The sequence below is a fragment of the Homo sapiens genome, chromosome 6 (assembly GCF_000001405.40).
Source record: "Homo sapiens chromosome 6, GRCh38.p14 Primary Assembly".
NCBI classification, from domain to species: Eukaryota; Metazoa; Chordata; class Mammalia; order Primates; family Hominidae; genus Homo; species Homo sapiens.
In genome coordinates, this window is record NC_000006.12 from 40,707,030 (window position 1) to 40,729,430 (window position 22,401).

Below are 22,401 nucleotides of genomic sequence, written 5' to 3' on the forward strand. Positions count from 1 at the left end.
ATATATGTTATTCCATGGAATCCACAAAGTAGATCTGGGAAAGTTTCTCTTGACGGATGTAATCAGCTAAGAAATAAATAATCCACCTAATAAATGAAAAAAGAATAATAAAATTTAAAAAGCACCATCTGGCAACCCCTGTGAATTAATGAATTCAGGCATTGCTCATTGAGCTGCTAACATTACAAAAAGTGAAACAATCAGACTTTTGTGCCTTTTGACCTAAGAATACACCACTACCCATGAGAGAGTGAGTAGTTTTGCCAAGAGAGAATCAGGGGGAGAGAGTAAGGGAGGGAGAGAGAAAGAGAAAGAAAAACAGAAAGAAGGACGGAGGGAGGGAGAAAGAGAGAGAGAGAGAGAAAGCTGAATCTACTCAAGCCTATGGGTCCAGCTGCAGTCTACAGGAAATACAGAGGACAGATGAGCATGTTAAAGGACACCAAAGGAATGCAACAAGCAAAGACCAAAAAATGGAAAACTGTGGCACAAACATCCCAATTTCATCCATAAGTTGCAAGGGGGAAAAAATGATGGGAGGAACTATAGATTAATAAACACTTAAAGACATATCAACCACTCAAAATGTGTGGACCTTATTCAAATTCTGACTTAAACAAATAAATGATTTTAAAAAAAATGTCATGGAGGCTCTTCTTCTGCCTCAAAGTAGAACATTATCTAACCCACGTTAGATTAGGTTTAGGTCCAGGGAGCGGTAGAAAAAACTCTTCCTCAACTCTTGGGGCTGTGTTCATTCCTAGTCCTCGTGCTTGTGACAAATAAACACCTTGGTTGTAGGATTTGGCTTTTTTGTCTGATGAAGTTCTTATACACTTTCCCACCCATCCCTTCACTGGGCCTTCTCAGGCAACTGGATGGATTGAGAAAGAAAGAGTTGGGAAGGGAAAAGAATATGTCTTTAGGGAAAGAAGCCTATTTTAGGGGTGAGGAGAAAAGGATAGCTTCCTAGAATGGTGGGGCTAAACTGAAATGCCTGACACCACCCCCTGCTCCCATGTCAGCAGGGAGATGTAGAAATCATTGAGACCTAAACTGCGGCAGCCACCTTGTCAGGAGCTGAGAGAGGCGCTGATAGCCACAGGTGACCTGCAGGATGTTAGTCAGGCTAATGAAGGTATCAAGTGCTCCTTAGCACCAGAACACAATGCTCCTGGGTCAGAAGGAGAAGAATCGAAGTCATGTTGCCAGGAGAAATATTTTTTGTTCTTATGAGGCTGGACTTTGCTCTCCTGGGAGAAAACCACTAACGTTTCCTTAGTGGGGTATGTTTGTATTTTTGATAGCTAGTGAGGAAATCAGCCATAGCACTCACTGGTGGGACTAACCTGGAATCCCAGAAGAAAAAGAGGTGGAGGGGGAGGTAGCTGAATCTGCTGAAGCCTATAGACCCAGATTCTAATTTGTAGAAATACAGAAGACAGAGAAATATGTTAACGACTACCATACTATAAAGATGCAAGCAACAAAAAGCCAAGGACTGGAAAACTGCAAAGAACAGGAATTTAATTCATCGATAAGTTACAAGGGGAAAAAAAGGGTGGGAAGACATAGATTTTTTTCTTTAATTAGCCAGGCCTGGTGGCATACCCCTGTAGTCCCAGCTATGGGGGAGGCTGAGGTGGGAGGATTGCTTGTGCCCAAGAGGTCAAGGTTGTAGTGAGCCATGATCATACCACTACATTCCAGCTTGGGTAAGAGAGTGAGATCTCTATCTCTAAAAAGTAAATAAAATAAAATTAAAAAAAAAAGACTTAGAAGACATGTCACCCTCTCTCACTGAACCAGACAGCACCCTTCCTCCTCTCAACTGGCATAGCTTGAGCAGAGGAGATGTTCTGAGGACAGAGCTAAGTTAGCTAGACAGAAGGGGAGACTGAGGCTGGGGATGGGATATCCTCTTCCTTCTGGAGGAAGGGATACAGCTCTCCATGGAGGAGGTGGGAAAATGACCTGGGGGCTTAAAAGAGGAGGCCACTGCAGGAGGAGGTCAGGAAACTCGAGAGAGGCCTCTGGGGAGATGTGGCAACCATGTGAAGAAACTACCTTTAAATATGTAATTTGAAAAGAGCTTCTGCCCCTTGAACAGAGAGAGCAGTTACTGAGTTGATGAATGAACAGCCTCTTTTCTCCCCACCTTCTCTGCTCTGACCCTTTAGGGAAAGACTTGTGTCAATAGGAACCTAGTCAGGTTCTGCCATCTTGGGAAGTGAGTACTAAAATATGCCACGGGCCCAAGGTCTGCACAGATCCCATTTGGGAGAAGGTGCTTAAAGATGTGGCTCCTGCCCCCACAGTGTCCTGTCTACACCTTCATAGTACTGCAGAGTGGACCTGATGAGGAACCTGGGGAGGAGGAGGACACTCCGGACAAGGACACAAACCCGTCCCCATCATGTCGCCAAGCAGAGCAGTACCAAATGGAGCATGGAGGTCCCTACGGCTGACCAAATGGGGTCACCACTGATTAATGGCAGCCCCAGAAAGACCTAGAGGAGGGAAGGCAGGAGCTGAAATACATCCCCATGCTTGAGAGCTGGGAAAACTGAAGGCCATAATCTCTCCCCTAGAGATTATTAAGAAATAGTTCTGAGTGTCTTAGTCCATTTTGTGTCATTGTAACAGAATACCACAAATTAGGTAATTTATACAGAACAGATTTATTTCTTACAGTTCTGGAGGCTGGGAAGTCCAAGGCTAAAGGACCTGTATCTGGTGAGGGCATTCTTGCTGTGTCATCCTATAGTGGAAGGTGGAAAGGCAAGAGAGCAAGAGGGGGGCAAACCCACTTTTATGATGAGCCTACTCTCATGATAATGGCATTAATCCACTCATGAGAATTGGATGGCCTGTTCACCTCTTGTTAGGCCCTGCCTCCCAACACTGTTGTATTGGGAATTAAGTTTTCAACACATGAACTTTGGAAGACACATTCAAACCATGGCACTGAATAACAGAAAATGAGAGGATGCTGATTCTCCCAGATTAAACTAGTAACATGGTGATAAACTCTCAAAGCCCCTCAATAGTGCTACAAGCATGGTCTTGCATGTAGTCTCTTGTGGAGGTACAAAGGTGCTCCTTCCCCCAGTCGGACCCAGCCTGGATCCAAGGAACCCCACTTTTACTTTCAGCTGATGCCTCTGTGCAGTTCAAAAGGCATATAACTGTATGTAGCCCTCTGGGTAAAGGTAATATGTATCTCCCATGGAGGAAGGTAGGGGTTAGAGAAAGGGCCCATGTACCTAAGGGGGTTTTGGAGCAGGGCAGAAGACTAATCCCACAGGCTCTGGCCGATGGTCCTCCCTGTGTGTCCTCTGCCTTCAGGGGCTTCCTGGTGTTCCTGTATTTCTTTTCTGAAGCTCAGTGATCTGGGATTTGTTTGAGCAGAAATGGAGACGATGAAGCCAAGCAACAGATATAGGCACGTTTACTTGGGGAGTAAAGGGAATAAACTGGTACCGGGAATCTGGCAGGCTCTGATGGGGCTTCCACTTAAAGCCTTTTATCTGGATTTCTGTCCAGCCTCTCCTGCTGCCCTTCCTACTACTCCCACTCCTCCTGGGAATCTGAGCTGTGCAAATAAACCCAACCCTGACTGGGCTGGAAGCAGGCAAGTGACAGAGAACCAGTGAAAAGGGAAAGAGGCTTCCCGTCTGTCTCCTGGGGCCCTGCGGCTGGAGAAACTGAGGGTGGGGAGATTGGATCACTTCCGCCATGAGGGCTTCAGCTGCATCCTGTTCTCACAGCCCCCTCCCTCCATCCTGCCCTCTCCAATTTATCTCTGAAGCTGTGTGCATGTCATCTCTAATGGCTAACATTTATTGAGCACCTGCTATGTGTGTTCTGGGCACCAGGCCAAATGCTTTACACACTCTAGCAGACCGGGCTCTGAGCTGCAAGCAACAGAAACCAACTCTGGCTGATTTAAACCTAAAAATAATTTACTAAAAACATCTTTGGTTGCTCATAGACTCTCTAAAGGGCCTAAATACCAGGTTTGGGGCTACACACTCAAGAATAACACCCAAAGTGATGCTGCTGCAAAAATGGTCCACATTTGAACACCACTGCTGCTGGGCTGGCCCTAGGCCTGGAGCTTGCCAGCTGGATGCTGGCCACCAAATTAGCAGCACAGCCACTGCTGTCCTGAGAACTCTTAAAATGGTTGCAGCAACCAGATATAATTCTTTAGGATCCCCTTGAGTCTTGGGCAGGTGCATCCGAATGGCAGAGCCAAGTCTTCCATAGTAGAAGGTAGGCTCTGCCACCCACTCTGGTCCCAACATAGGGAGAAATCTCCAGACACAGGGAGAGAGTGAGGTTGGCCACAAAGACAGACACCTGTCCACTTCACATGCTTGTTCTTGTTTCTCTCATTTAAATCTTGACGGTGGATATGTCATCCTCACTCATCAGAACAGGTACATGAGGGTCAGAAATATTAGCCAAGGATACACAGCTAGTCAGCAGCAGAAAGCCCAGGAGGATTGAGGGCTAACTGACTCCAGAGAGAACATCTCCTAACCCTAACTCTCTTAAGCCTCCTGTCTGCAGCACTGCCAGACAGAAAGGAGCAGTCTGCAGGAGAAAAATAAAGCAAGACAGAGAGCAAGAGACAGAACATGTTTGTGTGTCCTGTGTCTGTGAATGTGTGCATGTATGTGTGTGTGAATTGTATGTGTGTCTACATGAGTCTGTGCATGTATGGCTTCCCTGCATTCCCCTGTTTACAGTTGCAACCCATGCCCCTGAGTGAGAGTATAAGTGTATGTGAATTGTATATGTGTGTTTGCATATGTCAGTATGAGTCTGTGTGTGTAAATATTGTGTGTGTGTTTGTTGGGAGGGGGTGGGTTCAGGACCTCCCCCTGACCCTGCCCATTTAGGATATCAGGAGCTGACTATAACAGCCATGCCCTATCTACCCATTCCAGGGATAAGAGCACATCTGTACCTAAAGGGGCTCCCTAACTCCGGACTTTATGAAGTTGACCAAAAGGATCTATAAAGAGAACTGAATGCAGGGTTGGCATTCTAAATCCTTAATACCCTAGTTGCTACTGGCTCTGACCACAACCACACAGCTCCACTCCACATGCTGCTCTGATGCCCACTCTCTCATCAGCAGCCCTGACAGTGTGCAGTATGGGCTGAATATATAGAAACCACACAAACTCGGAAGGAAACATGGGGTCTTTGAAATCAGTCCCATTGGACTGTGAGTTTCATGTCTCTCTTGTTCATCCAAAGGCCCAGGGCTGCCCCATGCTGGCACGTGGCAGGTGCTCAGTTGAATGAATAAATGAGTGGGCAAGTCAGTGAATGAATGAATAGGCCTTCTCACTGACAAAGTCACAGTGCCCTGGACCAGCATCACCAGGTGGGTCACCTCCATGATCCTGGTCTGCCTTGACGCCTCTGTTTTCCAGTCCCCATACGATCCAACAGAGGCTTTGTTCATCTCTTGCTTCCTCTAGCTTTTTCCCATGTCCTGGTATTTGCTTATTCATTTGCTTAAAGCACTCTTCCAGAGTATGAAATCTGTCCCCATTAGTTTCTATAGGAAGGCTTTGATTCCCTCCAACATGTTCTGGAAATGCTAGACGAGTAGTATAGCAACTCACCACACCTCAAGGAAGATTCCCTGGATGTGCAGCCAGGGAGCAGGGACAGGAGACAGAAAGAGGCTGGATCTGTGGATAGCACAGTGCAGCTCCCCCAAAGCCTGGACTTAGGGGACTGCAAAGCCCACACAACAACAGGACTGGGACGTAACTAAGCTGCCATTTTCCTGACTGCACAGTATTTGTGCACACAGCAGTCAAGATACCTAGAAGATTAATATTATGTTTGATGCTCAGATGACCTGCTGCAGACCCAGGATCTCATCTCAAGACCTGGAGGAGAATCCAGTCTTTCAGTGAAAGAAGTTACCTGCTTATTGCATCCCATAATGAGGCAGAGTCCTTGCTCTCTGTTGCCCAGGCATCTCAACCCAGGGCTCTAGGCTTCGGTTTGTGCATCTGGCCCCCTGCACATCTGGAGTGTTGGAATTCAGAGAGTGCAGCGGCAGCTTCTGCGGGCCCTGCCTGGAGGAAGCCTCAAGAGGGAAGCACTGTTCCAGCCTCAGAGCCTGCGTGTCTGAGCTCAGTGTAGTTCGAAGCCACCAGCACATGCTGGATTCTTCTCCCCTCTGCCTGGTCCCTCTCTGGTTATTCTTTCTCTTCTCTCTGCCAGCCCAAGCCTCCTCTGGCAGGAGAGAGGGAGAACTGTGTTGCAGGCAGGGAACTGAAAGGGAGAGGATGTCCCAGAGGAGCTGACAGCTCACGACTGTTGCTCACCACAGCAGGGAAGGTTGCCTTCTCCTAGCCAGTTGTGTTTTCTCCTCTTCCAGCCCTCATGCCTGTTTGCTGGGGGGAAAAGTGTCAGTGTCAAGGCTCAGGCATGTCATCTCCCTTGCTGCCAGCAGGCCTCCCGGTTCCTACCAAAGGGCTGCTGGAGGGGAAAGGCCACCTCAGCTGAGGCGTGCCTAGGTGAGGGATCCCTATGAAAAGCCAGTGACATCCTCCTGGCCTGGCTTCAAGTCCTCAGGGAGCCACAGCACAGCTCCCTCTCCTCCCACGGATGCTGGCTTCCCCGCATTGCCCTGTTTACATTTGCAACCCATGCCCCTGAGCTCCCGGTCCTCCCAGAGGCTACAGGACTCGGCAATAAAGGTGGTGACAAAAGAAGAATTAAAGCAGGCTGAGGGGAGCCGGAGCTAGAGAAAGCGCCACTTTACCCAGGGCAGTCAGGGAAGTCTCTCTGTGGAGGTGACACTTGAGCCTGGAGACCTGCAGGAGGGAAGGGGTGAGCTGGGCGGACACCTGGGAAAGCTCACTCCACAGGGAACAGCGTGTATCACCCACGCAAGGAGGGGTCCAGCTGGTTGGAAGAGAGCAAGGAGGCTGTGTGGAGTAGCAGGGACAGGGGGGAGGCTGAGGAAATGAGACCAGAGCAGGGCTGAGCAGGTCAGTTGCAGCTTCCAAAAAAACCCTTTTAGGCATTTAAGTATCATTAAATTCTCACTCAGACACTCTGAGATAAGTATAATTATTATCCCCATTTTCCAGATGAGGAAACTGAGGAGGCGAGAGGTTACATATTTCCCACAGATCACAGAGCCAGGATTCAAGCAGTTCTTGCCTGTGGTCTGCACACCAAACTGCTTTGCTACGTCACCCGTAATAGTAACTCATCCACCTGAGAGTTGGGCAGACACGAATCCCAGTGCTGGACAGCAGCGCAGGATTTCTATGGCCCTGGCAGGTGAATTCTCCTCTGTGTGCTTCTGTCTCCTCACACGCTGCACCTCACAGGGTCATAGTGAAGGAGGAAGCAGAGATGAGCAGACATGGCTTCATATGGTCTGGGGATCATCCTTCCCTTCCCCACCCCATTTCAGGCAGATGGGGGCAGATTCCAGAAGCCAGGGGTAAGGAAGGTCAGTCTGAAATCTGAGGGGGAGTGGGCAGCTCAGCTACAGAAACCACAGGGCATGAAGGTGAGGGTTCTGGTGGAGGGCGTGTCTTCCCAGGGTGCCAAGGGGGTGGGTTCCAGAAGGCCTTAGGCCTGGTTCTTCATGGGAAAGGCTTAGCTCTGAAAGGCAGAACACCCACAGATAAGAGGAAAGAAGAGTGGGTCAAGTGAAGGATTTTCAAATGAAAGGAGACTTGAAGCAGTGGAGAGAGTGGGAGGGAGATGGGGAGTGTTAGAGACAGTGATAGCAGGTGGGTGTGCTCAGGGCCAGTGTTTGAAATAAGCAGGCGTGGCCCTTGGTTGGCTGTCCATGCCCCAGGTGCAACTACACTCACTGTTTGCAGAGCTTGGCCCTGTGTGTCATTATTTGCAGAGCTTGGAGCTGTTTGCAAAGCTTGTCATTGCCTGTGTCACCATTTGTAGACCGTGGCACTGTTTGTCATTCTGTGGAGTTTAGTTTTATTTGCAGAGCTTGGTATTATTGGGAGAGGCTAGTACTGTTTGTGTCACTGTTTGCAGTACTTGTCCCTGTGTCTGTTGGTGTTATGATGTCGACAGAGCCCATTCCTCCCTATTTCTCTGTTTGCTGAGCCTGTCAATGCTGATGTTACTGTCTCTGTGGATGTTCGGGGTCTGTCACAGTCAGAGGTATGGTCTGCAGTGCCCTTCACTTCCTGGGTCCCTGTGTGCAGAGCCTGTCATGGCTGGAGTTATGGTGTCTGTGCTGTCAGTGTCACAAATGCAGAGGCAGTCTCTCTGTGCAACTCTGTGCTGAGGCTTCTCACTGTTAGTGTCGCTGTCTGCGTCATGATTTGCAGAACCCATTGCTGCCTGTGCCTCTGTTGACAGGGTCTCTCACTGTCTATGACACAACAGTGAAACATGATATCACAGAGGAATATTCTTCACAACCATATCTGAAGCCTATCTCTGATCCCCAGCAGTCACTGCGCCCCCCACCTGGGACACATACACCACCTTGCCCCATGCTCCCATGCCCTCTGACCATTTTTGAATACTGGCCTCTGGAGTCTCGTAAGACCAAACACCCTGCCTCTGCTCCCTGCCATACTTAATGGGCCTCACACCCTGCTTCCTGGAGCTTGATTTCACTGCGGAGTCCAGGCCTCGTGGATGGCTCTAGACCAAGAGCACAAGCAGATTTACAAAAGAATCAGTGTTGGCAGGAAGGGGAAAAAAATGACATAGAAAGAGAGGAGCCATCAGGAAAGATGAAAGGGTTTTGCTTCTTCATCTGACGGGTCTTGAAGGCTGTCTTCGGGAGGGAGATGGCTCCTTACGGCAGAGGGTGTAATTAATTAAGGGTGAGGTGCAGTGAGCTCAGGCAGCTGGTGCAAGTGATAAAGTGGCATTGTGCAGCGAGTCCCCGGTGGTGACGGAGATAAGGGCCCTGTCACAGGCACGAGGCTTGCTGGTTGCAGCGTGGGGAAGAGGCAGGGGTGTTTCTAGAGGGAAAGGCAGGAACTGGCCAAAACACATTTATGGGTGAAGCTCTGCCTCCTTCAGACCACAGCACCTTGAAGTTTAATCCCCTGGTGGGAAAGCCGAAAATACCCATTATGCCACTGCTCATTTCTTGTAGACAGAAATATAGAAAATGAGAGCATGTGTTGAAGAAAAAAAATCAAAAGGAATGGTTAAAAGAAAGTTTTAAATAACATTTTTAAAAGCATAAGAAACCCATAGACTATTTTAAAAAAATAAAGAAAATCCTCATTGAAAGCCAGGAAAAAATGTGTGCTGAGGATCAAAAAGACTGGTTTCTGGAAAGGAAAAAAAAAAAAAAACCCTCTGCATTGCTAACTAGCAGAGAAAAAGAAGTCATGTAAAGATGTAAAGGGAAAGGCATCCTGTAAGTGTATATAATCTATATTATATATTTATATTTTATTATTAATTATTTATTACAAGAAAAGAGTGCATGGCAGGTCAGATGTACATTTGAAGTCAAACATCCAGGAAAAGCATCTGAGAATCCCCTTGTGAGGAACTCCAAAGCCAGTAATAACAGTTCCTTTAAATAACTTCAAAGTCAGGGAACCAGGTGAAGAATAAGTGGGAGCCCTCAGTGATCACAGTGCAAAAGGTGCACAAAGAACGAAAAGAGGCTGGTGGACAGGCTCAGCCAAATCTGTGCCAGGGAAGATGGCCCTGAAATCTCCACTCCCAAAATGCCTTTTGATGGTGAGAGTTGAATGTACAAGATCAAATATTAATGACAATGGTAACTCCTTACATGTACATATTGATTTATGGTTTGCTTTTTTGTTGTTATTGTTTTTACTCACATTATCTCATTTAATCTTATCATAACATAGTCTCTAAGATGGGCAGGAAAGGAATTTTTAGTAGCCCCATTCATAGATGCGAAAATTATTATCAAAATTGGTTATGAAGTACTATGGTTTGAATGTCTCCTTCAAAACTCACATTGAAATTTAATTGCCTGGCCAGGTGCAGTGGCTCACACCCGTAATCCCAGCACTTTGGGATGCCAGGGCAGGTGGATCACCTGAGGTCAGGAGTTTGAGACCAGCCTGGCCAACATGGTGAAACCCCATCTCTACTAAAAATACGAAATTAGCCAGGCGTGGTGGCATATGCCTGTAATCCCAGCTACTTGGGAGGCTGAGGCAGGAGAATCACTTGAACCCAGGAGGCAGAGATTGCAGTGAACTGAGAACGTGCCATTGCACTCCAGTCTGGGCAACAAGAGCAAAACTCCACCTCAAAAAAAAAAAAAGAAAGAAAAGAAATTTAATTGCCATTGTGACAGAATTAAGAGGTGGGTCACTTAAGAGGTGATTGGGCCATGAGAGATCCACCCTCATGAATGTATCAGTGCCATTATTGTGACAGTGAGTTACTGATAAAAAGGATGGGTTCACTATTCTAATGTTCTCCCTCTGTTTGATACACTCTCACACTTTCTTGCCATGTGATGTCTTCCACAATGTTATGACACACCACAAAGGCCTTTACCAGATGCCAGTGCCATGCTCTCGGACTTTCCAGCCTCCAGAGCCATGAGCCAAATAAATTTCTATTTTAGTTACCCAGTCTGTGGTATTCTGTTATGGCAGCAGAAAATAGACTAAGAAATAAGGCAAGAACCTTCAGCTAAATCATGTCAGCATTGGAACATGATCCTAAAACCCAGAGTCTTTATGCAATATCATGCTATCTCAATTTGGATTCTTGCAGAAGCTGAGCCTGAGGCAATGATGTGGGTGCAATATCGTTTATTTGGGAGGTGAAGAAAGCACTGAAAGAGGAATGGGACAGTGGAACAGGGAAGGGGAGAAACCAAAACAGAGTGAGTGATCAGGCTGGCTAACACCTGGTTCCTAAGGCCCAGTCCTGCAGAGACCTTGGAGCAATAGCATAGCACTAACTGTAAGAGTTTTCCTCCTTGAGGGGAACCCAAATTCTGAATTTCATCCGGAAATCAGTATAAATAGGTCACCATGACCTGTTGGAATCCACTTGAACCTCCTAAATAAACTCAAGGGTGAACTGTGAAACTGATATCCATGATAAGTTACTTGTTGTTCCAAATACTGCTATGTTTTTTTGGGCTGGTAGACTGCTAACTATGCCTGCTCCTAATAAGTGGATCCTTGAAATAGGAATTATCTGTAAGATAGATACAATAATTATTCTGTAAGATAGGGATTATTGAGCCCACGTTTGACAGATAGAGAAACTGAGGTTCCAGGAGATTAAATAACTTGCCCAAGATCACAAAGTTATTAAGTAGGGAAAGCTAGATTTGAGTTCTGAACTTCTAACTCTAAAATCTATACCACCTGTGTTAGTGAATGTTCTCTGGAGAAACAGAATCAATAGGAAGTATAGATAGGTATAGATATAGAGAGATTTATTACAGGAATTGGCTCACACGATTATGGAGTCTAAGAAGTCCCACAGTCTGCCCATCTGCAAGCTGGAGAACCAGGCAAGCCAGTGGTGTAATGCATTGGCTTAAAGTGAGTGGCTTAAAGTCTGAAGGCCTGAGAACCAAGGGAGACAATAATATAAATCCTGGTCTGAGTCCTGAGGCCCAAGAGCCAGGAGCACTGAAGTCCAAGGACAGGAAAAGATGGATGTTCCAGCTCAAACAGGGAGCAAACTTTTCCTTCCTCCACCTTTTTTGTTTGTTTGTTTGTTTGTTTGTTTTCCTCTCTGGACCATCAATAGACTGGTTGATGCCCATCCGCATTGGGGAGGGCAGATCTTCTTAACTTGGCCTATCATTTCAAATGCTGATCTCTTCCAGACTTATCCTCACCGACAAACCCAGAAAGAACATTTTACCAGCTATCTGGGCATTCCTTAGCCAAGTCATGTTGACACCTAATGTTAACCATCACACCAGCTTTTCCTATAACTCACAGAGGTGGTCTTTGGAAACATGAAACAGTAAATTTTACCCCATCCTCGACCAATCCGCTACCCACTGGATAAGAGAAAGTGGGAAAGAATAGAAATTGGTTAAAATGCAATTTAGGTCTGTTCCTGGGAGACAGATTGCCATTGAATTTGAGGGGATTTCAAAGAGGGGAGTAAGAAGGGAATTTGAAGCCTGTCTCAAGCCTGTAAGGATGGCTTCCCTGACACCTGTTCATGACAGAGCTGTGGCCTGGAGAACTGTGGGCCTGCAATAGAATGGGGATTCTAATGGCATAAGTGTGTGTCTGGGGGTGAGGTCCCGGTGGGCATGAGCATCATGAACATGCAGTGGGGCCAGTGGAGCTGGCCCATAGGGTGGCTCAGATGGAGAGAAGGCTTGGAATCTGGAGCCAGATAAGAGAGGTAGAAACAATTCTTGGAGTGTCTTGGGGCTGAGTCCTCTCACGCCCACTACTGCCTGCTATACCTCCAGCTCCACAGCCCCACCAAGGCCCTTCTGCCTCTCCTACTTTGAATTCTTCTTTTTTTAGAGCAGTAAGCCCGGCACTGAGAGGCAGTAATTGGGGATCTTTTGTTCCACACAGTCTCTGCCACGCTTGCTCCCAGGGTTGCAAAGTTGCTTTCTACTGCCAGGCACATGGGGTTTGACCTTTTTCATTTATTTGAACACTTACCTTCCAAATAGGAGAGTGGGGTGGAGCGTGGGGGGAGAAAGAGAGAGACAGAGACAGGGTGATAGAGCAGGAGACCTACAGGGAGAGGAACTGAAAGTAAGATCAGAGCACTTAGAAAGAAAGAGGCAGGCAGGCTCTGGGAAGGAAAACAGGAAGTGGGAAAAAAAACACTTAACTATGTAAGACTGAGAGGCATCTGGAGCCCAGAGGAGCTGGAAGGAGACACAGAGCCAGGGAGAGATGGAGAGGATAGACAGGGAGATAACAGAGAGGAGAGCAGACAGATGCAGAAAGAGAGCACACATGGGAATCCAAGCAAACTGGGGAGAGAGAATGAAGAGGTGGGAATGCCGAGTGAGGTGCCCTCTCAGCTCTCAGAGTCCTGCAGTACGTGCACACCTACCAGCCCAGAATGTTAATTACACGCTGCCTTTAACAGCCTCCACTGCTGAGTCCCTGAAAGGGGGAGCTGGGATGCAAACCTGCAGGCAGCACGTAGCAGCCCCTTAGCCAACCCAGGGGCAGGAAGCAGAAGAACCTTTCAGTGTGATCACAGAGAGAGAGGCGCAGGACAGTCTTGTGTGTCCCGCAGGAGTGGCCAGTGTCCCTCATAGACCTCAAGAGCCAGAAGAGAGGCTGACCAGCTGGGCTGGGGAGTGCCTGGATAGAGAAAGCAGGGAGAGAAAGGACCCTGGGGAAGAGGAAGCTCGGGAGGGACAGAGGGAGGGAGGGAGGGAAGAGGTACTAAGAGACGAAAGATCCCTCAGGCCTCCCCACCCCCACCTCACTTTTTGCAGACAATAATCCCCTTCTGCCCCTTCTGTCCTGAGATGAGGCAACCCCTCCCCCAACTCCACCCACAGCATCCTTTCAAGTTCATCAGCACCATCTATCACCACAGCCAAAAAGGTCTCAGTGCCTATTCCTGCTCCCTGAGCCCTGACCCAGCCCTGGCTTTCCAGCCAGCTGCAAGTGAGAAAAACTTACTCTTCTCTTCAAGAGCATTATAAAAACTGAGAATGCAACTTTCTCCTGAGTAATGAGAACTGTCTCTTTATGTCTAGCCCTTTCGTCCACCCCACCGTCTCGTGCTTTGCCTCTCCAGATCCTCCAGCCAAGATCCATCTTCAGATCAGGCATCCAAGTCAGATGGAGGAGGCCAGGCCTTGGCTGTGTAATCCAGGAGCTCCAATCTCAGCTGTTTGCTCCCCTCTTGGGAAAGGTACTGAATGGGCAAGCTCCTATTTCCCTCAGCCTCCACCCCTGCCCACGTTACTCAGGAAAGTCCTCATATCCATGCCCTCCTCCTCCCTCTCCAGCCAGCCACCCTGCCAGCCACTGCTCAGATGGGAAAAGGAGGTCGGGACGTTCCTGAGTAGTTAATAATAAGGGGGTGAGGGGCTATGATGGTAAATCCTTTGCCCAGATCCAGGTCACAGAGAGGCACTAGGCTCTTGAGGTCCCCAGAGACCTCTAGCGAGGTGACAGCTCAGTGGACCTGAGCTTTTCTGGCCCTCCATTCACTGGGGCCCAGGCTTCAGTGGCTTCTCTGAGATGCTGATGTGTTCTCAGCACTTTAGCAAGAGATGCTCCAGGCACAGGCTTTCTGCGGCTCTCTTCTTCCCATCCCACCACTGCATCCATTTGTGTCTTCACATAAGCGCACTCCACCCGGAATCACTAGGCTAGGCCTACACATGTGGGCACATGGACATATGCCAAACACATAATACACAGGCATGCATGAGTGCCTGCAGACAGAGATGCCTGCAAAAGGGAGCATTCAAGCACACAGGGCCCCACATAGGCAGACAGCGCAGCGCTCCATAAATACAAATTAAATTAAATATGCACAAGCACACCCATGGCAAGTCATCAGGCCTCTGCTCTGCCCAAGGCAAGGGTGTTTGGGCTGAGCAGCCTCTGCACAGCTAAGGAGCTTTTGATTTGACAAAGAAATTACATTTCTTTCACATTAAAAAAGGCTTTGAAGATTCAAAGCCTCAGGCCAGAAAGCAGTGACCACCCAGGGAACAGGGGCAACAGGTCAAGCTTTCCTCTCCCTGCTCCTGTCACTGAGAGACCGTCTTCCTCCCTGGGGCCCTGAAGGGCATTGAAAGTCATGATTTCATGAGGCTGAAACAGGATGAGTTGCTCCACAAGTCCTGCTGCCAGGCAGTGGAGAGGCTGCCCAGAGGCCCCCCAGAGCTACAGCATAGCGTCAAGCCTGTCTGGGGTCCTTCCATCTCCCTTTGGGGCACCTCATCTTTCTTTCCTTTCAGTGGCCTCCCAAGAGGCCATCAGGCTAACACCCTCGTGGGTTAATGATGTGACCTTTCTTGTCTTCTTGGGATTTTCCTGTAGTCAAAAAAGGAAGGTGTCACTGGGACAGGAAAGACATCCAGGCAGCCTCCTGCTCTGCCAGTAAGTAGACTGGGCTGTACAGGAGAGGCTGGAGACCCAGGAGAGTCAGGATAAGCTGTTTTTCTGCCCCTCTCATCACCTTCCTCTCCTGCATGACAATAATGCTTCTTATAGGACAGAACTTGTGAGAACAGTTGCTGCTCGGGTCTTAATCCTGTTCTCTCAGCTCAGAGCATTCCTCAGGCAGGGGAGGCCTCAGTGTGTAATCCAGGAGCTCCGACCTCAGCTGTTTGCTCCCCTCTTGGGAAAGGTGCTGAATGGGCAAACTCCTATTTCCCTCAGCCTTTGTTGGTCTCCAAGACACATCACAGCCCATCCTTACACTCCATGATACCTGCCGATCCCTGCTTAAAATCCTCCCACGTTAACTTTAAATACAGTTAAATCTTTTGAAATGAGCAATTTTCTGCAAAGGTCACTGTAATGCTCAGAGTTCTATGCTGCCAGGAGACCCTTGGAAGGCAATGAGGCAGTCCCAGAGTGGGGAGGGAGGGAAGTGGAGAGAAATGAGAAGACCACAGCCCCTGCAACACCCCCACCTGGGCCTCCTCCCCGCAGATGAACATCCTACACAAACAAAGCCGTGGGTTGTCAGGCTTGAGAACAACCCCAGAGATTGCCCAAGCCTCTGTTTCACAGATGAGAAAACAGAAGTCCAGAGAGATGACATAACTTGTCTGGGGATGCACAACCAGTCAGGGTCAGAGCTGAGGCCTGAACCTCCTTGCCCCTATCCCAATGTTCTTTAAATATTAACTTTAAAAACACAGCAATACTGGTCCTTAATTCTGGAAGGTGATTATTTATACACAGCCCATGTCCAGGCTGTTGCCTCTGCTTGGAATGCCCTCTCCTCAACACTGTCCCCAACATTTCTCTCTGGCAAGCTTGTATTCATACTCCAAAGTCCAACTGGCATATCACCTGCTCCCTGATTTCTCTCTCCACCCACCCCCTCAACTTCAACAGACTGAATTACTCCTTGTCTGGGTCTCCTCCACACCCTTCATATGCCTCTGCTGGGCACATAACGACTTACATGTCTGTTTCTTTCCCTGGGCCATGGGCTCCTTCCAAGAGGGGAATTACAGCAGAGTCTAGCCCAGTGTGTAGTCCAATTGACATTGCTAATTGGGGATCAGTTGCCCATGTCCATGAATGTGTGGAGGGAAGGAATAGGTGGAGAAGGAGCCTCAGGACTCAAGGTCAACTTGCTAGAAATATGGCTTGGGCTGGAGATGGTAATTCTGGGTATGCGGCTTTCTCTCCAGATATATTTGTGTCTATGAAGACCCCAAGTGCTACCCACGAGGGCAGAACAGATCCAAGGAAGGGGCATGTTCCACAGGAGGTATCAGGTGACCTGAAGGGGCCCCCACTTCACTGTTCTCTGTCGGGACGGGGTTGAGGCAAAAGCCGCTCCTAACCTGAGCCCCTGACCCAGGCCTGGCCAATATGGGAGGTCAAGCAAGCCTGCTCCACTCCACTTTCTTTCCCCAGATGGGACATCGATTTCTCACACACCCCAAGTGAGTGTTGAGGTGGCTCTGCCCCTTTGACAACAGGTGCAGCCCAGCTCCTGAAGCAAGAAACCTAGGCCAAACATCAGGCTTGGGATTTGGGTTTGGGATAGGGTTTGAGTAGGGTTTGAGAGATGAGGTTAAGGGTGAGATTTGAGAGGCTGGGTACCACTACTTGTAGGGAGCTTTCAGATTGGTGAAGAAGAAAGAGCCCTGCCCTAAGAGAGCTCAAGGGGAAAAATACATGAATGCAGGCCGTTAGGGCCCACTGGGACACAGGGCTGAGCTATGCCTGGAGAGGAATGGGTAGGGAAGGAGAAACAGAGGGTGGGGAAAGAGGAGGAAGTGACTAGTGATGCTCTGGCCTGCCTGCTAGCTGGATGTGAGTCCAGCAATGTGAATTCTCTCTCTAAAAGCTCCTGGAGACACTCAGTTGTATGGCTCTCTGTGTGTCCCTGTATGTGAGTGTTTCTGTTTGGCAGAAGTCCGGGAGGTACGATGGAAATGGGACAGGACATTCAGAGATGAGCGACTAATTTCCTGTTAATGGCTGGTTGCTTGGCAACCCAGCTTATCTCTGCCTGTTGCCCTCAAAATTGGACTGCAGGAATTTTTAGTGTTAAAGCGCCTCCCATGGAAACTCAATTCTGTGAGAGGTGGGTCCTGTCATCACTGCCCTGCCCTTCCCTGCCCCGCTGGGTAGCAGAGCAGGGCACAGGACACACAAAAACCAAAGCCTGCCACAGCCTCTCATTCTGTCTTTTGTGCCATCCTCTCCATGAACAATCATGAATACACATATGCTTACACACACACGTGTTTATATAAGCACATGTGCACACACACAAACACACTAATCTGTGGCTTACACACATATAACAATAGTAAACTGTTACTATATCTGAGTGCCTACCATTTGACAAATATTTTGCTTCAACTTTTACATCCACTTCATATTCTCTGTTCTTCTTCCCTGCAGCCTTATGAACTACAGTATCATCACATTTATAAACAGAAACCAGGAAATCATGTCCAGGGACCAGCGTACTCATGTGCATGTGTTCCAGAAATTCAAGTGTGAGGGGGGACCATCTTTCCAAGGATGGACTCCATTCAAGTCCTTCATTCTTACCCCCAACAAATCCACTGAGAATAATTCCATCTGGAGAGAGAGAGAGAGCTAAGCACAGGAGTCCCTTTCTTCTTTCCAACCAACCAGGACCTCGAGGGATGCCTGTTCTCTGCCATCCCCCACCTGAGTTTGGGGACCTCAGACAGGGGCCTGAGCTGGTATGAGCTTTGGCATAAGTCACAGAGATTTAATACCATATATCCAGCGTCTGGTCTTTCAGAATGACATTTTCATTAGAGTGGAAATATGCCACCTAAACAAACAAAAAAGTATTTCTCAGCTTCCCCTGAAGATGGCAGTGACCAGTGAAATATAAGGGGAAGTCACTGGGTGGGGATTTTGGAAAGGATTTGTAAAGGGAGGTTTCTCAGCTGATAGATACCCTTTTGCCTTCCCCAATTTCTCCTACTTTCTATCTAGAACGTCAACATGATGGCTGGAATTCTAGTGGCCATCTTAAGTCATGGGGTGACCTTGAGAAACAGAAAGACACATGGCGGCTGGGACATGGATGGTACCAAGGAGCCCTCTTGACAGGCCTGGATTGCCAACCCAGACTTCTTTTACATGAGAGAAGAGCAAACTTGAATTATATTGGCCAGTAGCCTACTCAATATTTGGCCTTTCTGTCCTGCAACTGAACCTAATACTAACAGATACAGCAGGTCTCCAAAAACAGAAAGTACTGAGGCCCCTGGTGCTCAGAGATCCCTGGAAAGAGTGACTGAGCTGAGATAACCCACAGCCCCACCTTGAATCCAAGACCCTCCATTGGAAGCCAGGGCCTGCCTGTCATTGTCTTCCAGGAAAGCTGTCTCAGTCACTTCCCCGGGCCTCAGTCTTTCTCAACACAAATATCACCATCTCCATAACACCCCTCTCCCAAAATAATGCTTGTAGCTCCCCACCTCCCTCCCTCGTGAAATCTGAAGCCTGATGAAGCCTCCCTAGACAGTTTGTGCAAAGAATGGCACAAGCATGAATGATGATTTCATCAAGAGTCTGCAGGGCACAAGGCTGTGCCAGTCCTTTTCTGGAAGGTCAGGGATAGGAAGACAGGTTAAGGAAATGCCAGAGGCTCTGAGTCTGACTGAGCCAGGGAAGGAGAACCAGGATCAGTCCATAAACAAGCAGGAAGTAGCCCCTTTTGTTTTGGCTTAGGCCTGCACCAGGGAAGCTGAGTCACTTAGGGGTAGGGAATGGAGGCAGGGAGAGGGCAGAGCCCCCAGACTCGTGGTTAGGACCCCTAAGTGCAAAATCCCAGTTCTGGCTCCAACTTGCCCAGAAAATGAGGGTTTTTGGCTAGGTGAGCTATGAAGCCACTTTCACCCCACGAGTCTGGCGCCATGGTCCCTAGTTTATGGAGCTTGTTATCCGGTACACAGACCCCGTCTCACTCACTGTTCTCCACACCCTCTTCGGTGTTCCCCAAACCTCTAAATGAGCCCTTGTGTCCACACTTTAACATAAGCTGGACCCTCCGCCTGGATTCCTGCCCCTCCAGCACAACTCATTCCCTCTCCCCTTATGAAGGTCTCTGTCTAAATGTTACCCTCTCAAAGACACCTTTCCTGGTCACCCTGTCGTAGGTGGCACCTGGATCACTCATCCTAATTGGTTTTCTTCACTTAATATTTGCTTGTTTGTTGGTTTGGATACGGTGTTTCTCTCTGATATGGTTTGGATCTGTGTCCCCATCAAATTTCATGTTGAATTGTAATCCCCAGTGTTGGAGGTGGGGCCTGGTGGGAAGTGATTGGATCGTGAGGGCAGAGTTCTCGTTAACAGTTTAGCGCCATCTCCTTGGTGCTGTCCTGGGGATAGTGAGTGAGTTCCTCTGAAGTCTGGTTGTTTAAAAGGTGTGTAGCACCTCCCTGCTCTCTCTTGCTCCTGCTCCCGCCATGTGAGATACCTGCTCTTCATTCACCTTCCCCCATGATTGCAAGGTTCCTTGGGCCTCCCCAGAAACCAAGCAGATTCCGGCACCATGCTTCCTGTACAGCCTGCAGAACTGTGAGCCAATTAAACCTCTTCTCCTTATAAATTACCCAGCCTCAGGTATTCTTTTATAGCAATGCAAGAATGGCCTAATACCCTCTCCCATGAGAATATTAACTCCATGAAGACAGAGATTTTGTCTGTTTTGGTGCATTGCTGAATCCTCAGCATGTAAAATAGCACATAGTAGACATTTTAATAAATAGTTAACTGACAAACAGAATGAGTGACTACACGTGCAAGTGTATCTACATTTTTTCATCCACATGCGTATACATATATACATACTTCCATGCACGCATCCCACACCTACACACACACACACACACACACACACATACAGCTTTTTGCATAAATGGAAATTCTAATACACTTTTTCAGGACATCTTAGAATTACACAAGCTAGAAAGGCAATGCCAGAGTCTCATTCCTAGCAGACGTCAGTCTGCATAACAAAGCATGTGGGGTATGGCAATGAAATTTAATGTTCAAATCGCATAATAAAATATTTTTATTTATATGCCTTTTATATTCCCTATATAATAAAAGTAACAGTATTTTCATGGATGCTTTTCTTATTCAGTGTGTAGCTCACTCCTACTTCTGGTTTTACATGAGGCTCTTTTAGCAATACTCTGGGGAAACACCCAGCAAGAGAGGGATAGGCAATTTACTCTTGAATGGTTTATAACACCATGTAACCAATGGCAACCCTCATGGGCTACTCCCCATCTCCCCCTAGTTGTTGGGGATGGGAGGGAGCATGCGCTGGGCTAGAGTAGTCAAAAGAGTTGAACAAAACATACTCTTAGCATGTAAATCACCTTCATCTCCCCCTCCCTTTCTTATTTATGCTACATAATAGAGTAATTAGTTCATATTTGCTAACAGTAAAAGAGAACCAGGTCAAAATGGTAAAGTTTCTTATAGGTACAACTTTTCTGTTTCACAGGTAAATATTGGTATTGTGTACAGGATGTAATAATTTATCTATTTCAAATGCTCATTAACAGCTGTTAAACTTTATTATTTATTAATCGGTGAATAATTTATTTAATTTTTAAAAATTAAATATAGAACTACTAATGGATTAAATTTAAATACTTAAGTCTAATATAAGTGGACAGGGATTCCAGTAGAGAACTGTGTTCTGCAAAGTGTTCTGTGTAAGATACAAGAATCCTGTGTATGGACAGACTTCTAGCTGTACATGGAATATACACTTATGTACTCATGAATGAGAATCAGGGCAGCAGCAGCCACAACAAACAGAGGTAAGGTTAGTCTGATTCCACTTAGACAGTGACTTCAAACCCTGTGGATCAACGCTTGCATCTCTCCTGGACAGGCACATTTGCACACCTGGCTACCCCCAAAGAGGGAAGCCTAGGGCAGTTCACACACAGAAAGTAAGACAGAGAGAGATACAAGCGACCTTCATCATGGGATCACATTCAGTCCTGCTTGCAAGTCCAACCTTCCCACAGCTGACATTAACCCCTGGTATTTAGCATATTAACTTCTCAGAGCTGACCTTTTTGAACTTGACCTTTGCCTGCTAAACCTGTGGAGCCAGCCAGTTCCACAAAGAGTTTTAGAGCCGTCTCAGCCATTCTGATGATAGCTCCTGATACCAGTCATCTTGGTCTGTTCAAGCTACTATAACAAAATACCTTAGACTGGGTGATTTATAAACAATAAACTTATTTATCACAGTTCTGGAGGCTGGGAAGTTCAAGATCAAGGAGCTGGCAGATTTGGTGTCTGGTGAGGGTCTGCTGCTTGGTTCATAGATGGCGCCTTTTGGCTGTGCCCTTACAGGATAGAAGAGATGAGGGAGTTCTCTGGGGTCTCCTTTATAAGTGCGCTTATCCCATTTATAAGAGCTCCAACCCCATGACCTAATCGCTTCCCAAAGGCCTCACCACCACTTTGGGGGATAGTATTTGAACATATGAATTTGGGGTGTGGGACACAAATATCGAGGCCATAGCACCAGTGCTTCTCACATTTCCATGTGCACACAAATTACTTGAGGATCTTGTTAAAATGCATATTCAGATTAGCAAGACTGGGATGGGTCTGAGTCTGCATTACTGACAAGCTGATGCTGTTAGAAATGACCCAGGGCCTTACTTATAACAGAAGGGCCTTAGGCTACAGAAGCCCTTTCTTTTCCCCGGAGTTTCCACTCTCCCTGCTACACATTCTCCAACCCCAGGTCCTCTTGCAGCTCTAGCCACTGGGCTTGGAGCTCATGTGGCTGGTTGTGGTGGGATGAGCTGAACTGTCTCAATCTCTCAGTTGATGCCGAGTACCAGAGCCTTTACCAACGGCTGAGTATGCAGCTGGGCAACCTGGGTGGGATCCTGCCCCATGGAACATGCATGATCTTAGGGAGGAAGCCATGGACCAGTCCCCATATGATTCCTTTTAAGGAAGAAGATGTGCAGGGGTCTGGGGATTAACACTTTAATACTCCTAGCATCATGCTAAGCACTCATCAGGGGCTCACTAAATAGTTACAGAATATAGAACATGATTAAAACACATATTCTAGAGCCAGAGTGCCCAGGTTCAAACCCTCTAATTCCCAGCTGTGTGACATTGAGTCACTTACTTAACATCTCTGGGTGGCCATGTCTTCATCTGTCAACCTGGGAAAATACCCACCTCA

At 47.6% G+C, this 22,401-nt stretch overlaps 2 long non-coding RNA genes across 5 annotated transcripts, besides 1 other annotated feature; one reads left to right on the plus strand and one right to left on the minus strand.

Annotated features, from left to right (window-relative positions):
• Positions 1-5,814: 5,814 nt before the first annotated feature.
• On the minus strand, positions 5,815-8,349 carry LOC101929535 (uncharacterized). 2 transcript variants are annotated; one of them, NR_187731.1, is made up of 3 exons: positions 7,878-8,349; positions 7,267-7,369; positions 5,815-6,434 (listed from the first exon to the last, which is right to left on the minus strand). It is a non-coding gene; the product is annotated as an uncharacterized LOC101929535 (long non-coding RNA). The 2 variants fall into 2 exon arrangements; NR_187732.1 differs by lacking the exon at positions 5,815-6,434 and having other exon boundaries at positions 7,172-7,369.
• Positions 6,131-6,632: an enhancer, noted in NCBI's record as "H3K4me1 hESC enhancer chr6:40680899-40681400 (GRCh37/hg19 assembly coordinates)". NCBI's record gives its function as "activates a minimal SCP1, AML or CMV promoter by ChIP-STARR-seq in primed H9 embryonic stem cells {active_cell/tissue: H9 hESC(primed)}" and the evidence as "EXISTENCE:reporter gene assay evidence [ECO:0000049][PMID:30033119]".
• Positions 8,350-8,512: 163 nt separating the features above from the next.
• LOC105375052 (uncharacterized) lies at positions 8,513-20,242 on the plus strand. 3 transcript variants are annotated; one of them, XR_926788.2, is made up of 4 exons: positions 8,513-9,415; positions 13,715-13,872; positions 16,346-16,432; positions 17,574-17,970. It is a non-coding gene; the product is annotated as an uncharacterized LOC105375052 (long non-coding RNA). The 3 variants fall into 3 exon arrangements; XR_926789.2 differs by having other exon boundaries at positions 13,756-13,872; XR_926787.3 differs by lacking the exon at positions 8,513-9,415 and adding an exon at positions 13,525-13,622 and having other exon boundaries at positions 17,574-20,242.
• The last annotated feature ends 2,159 nt before the right edge of the window (positions 20,243-22,401 follow it).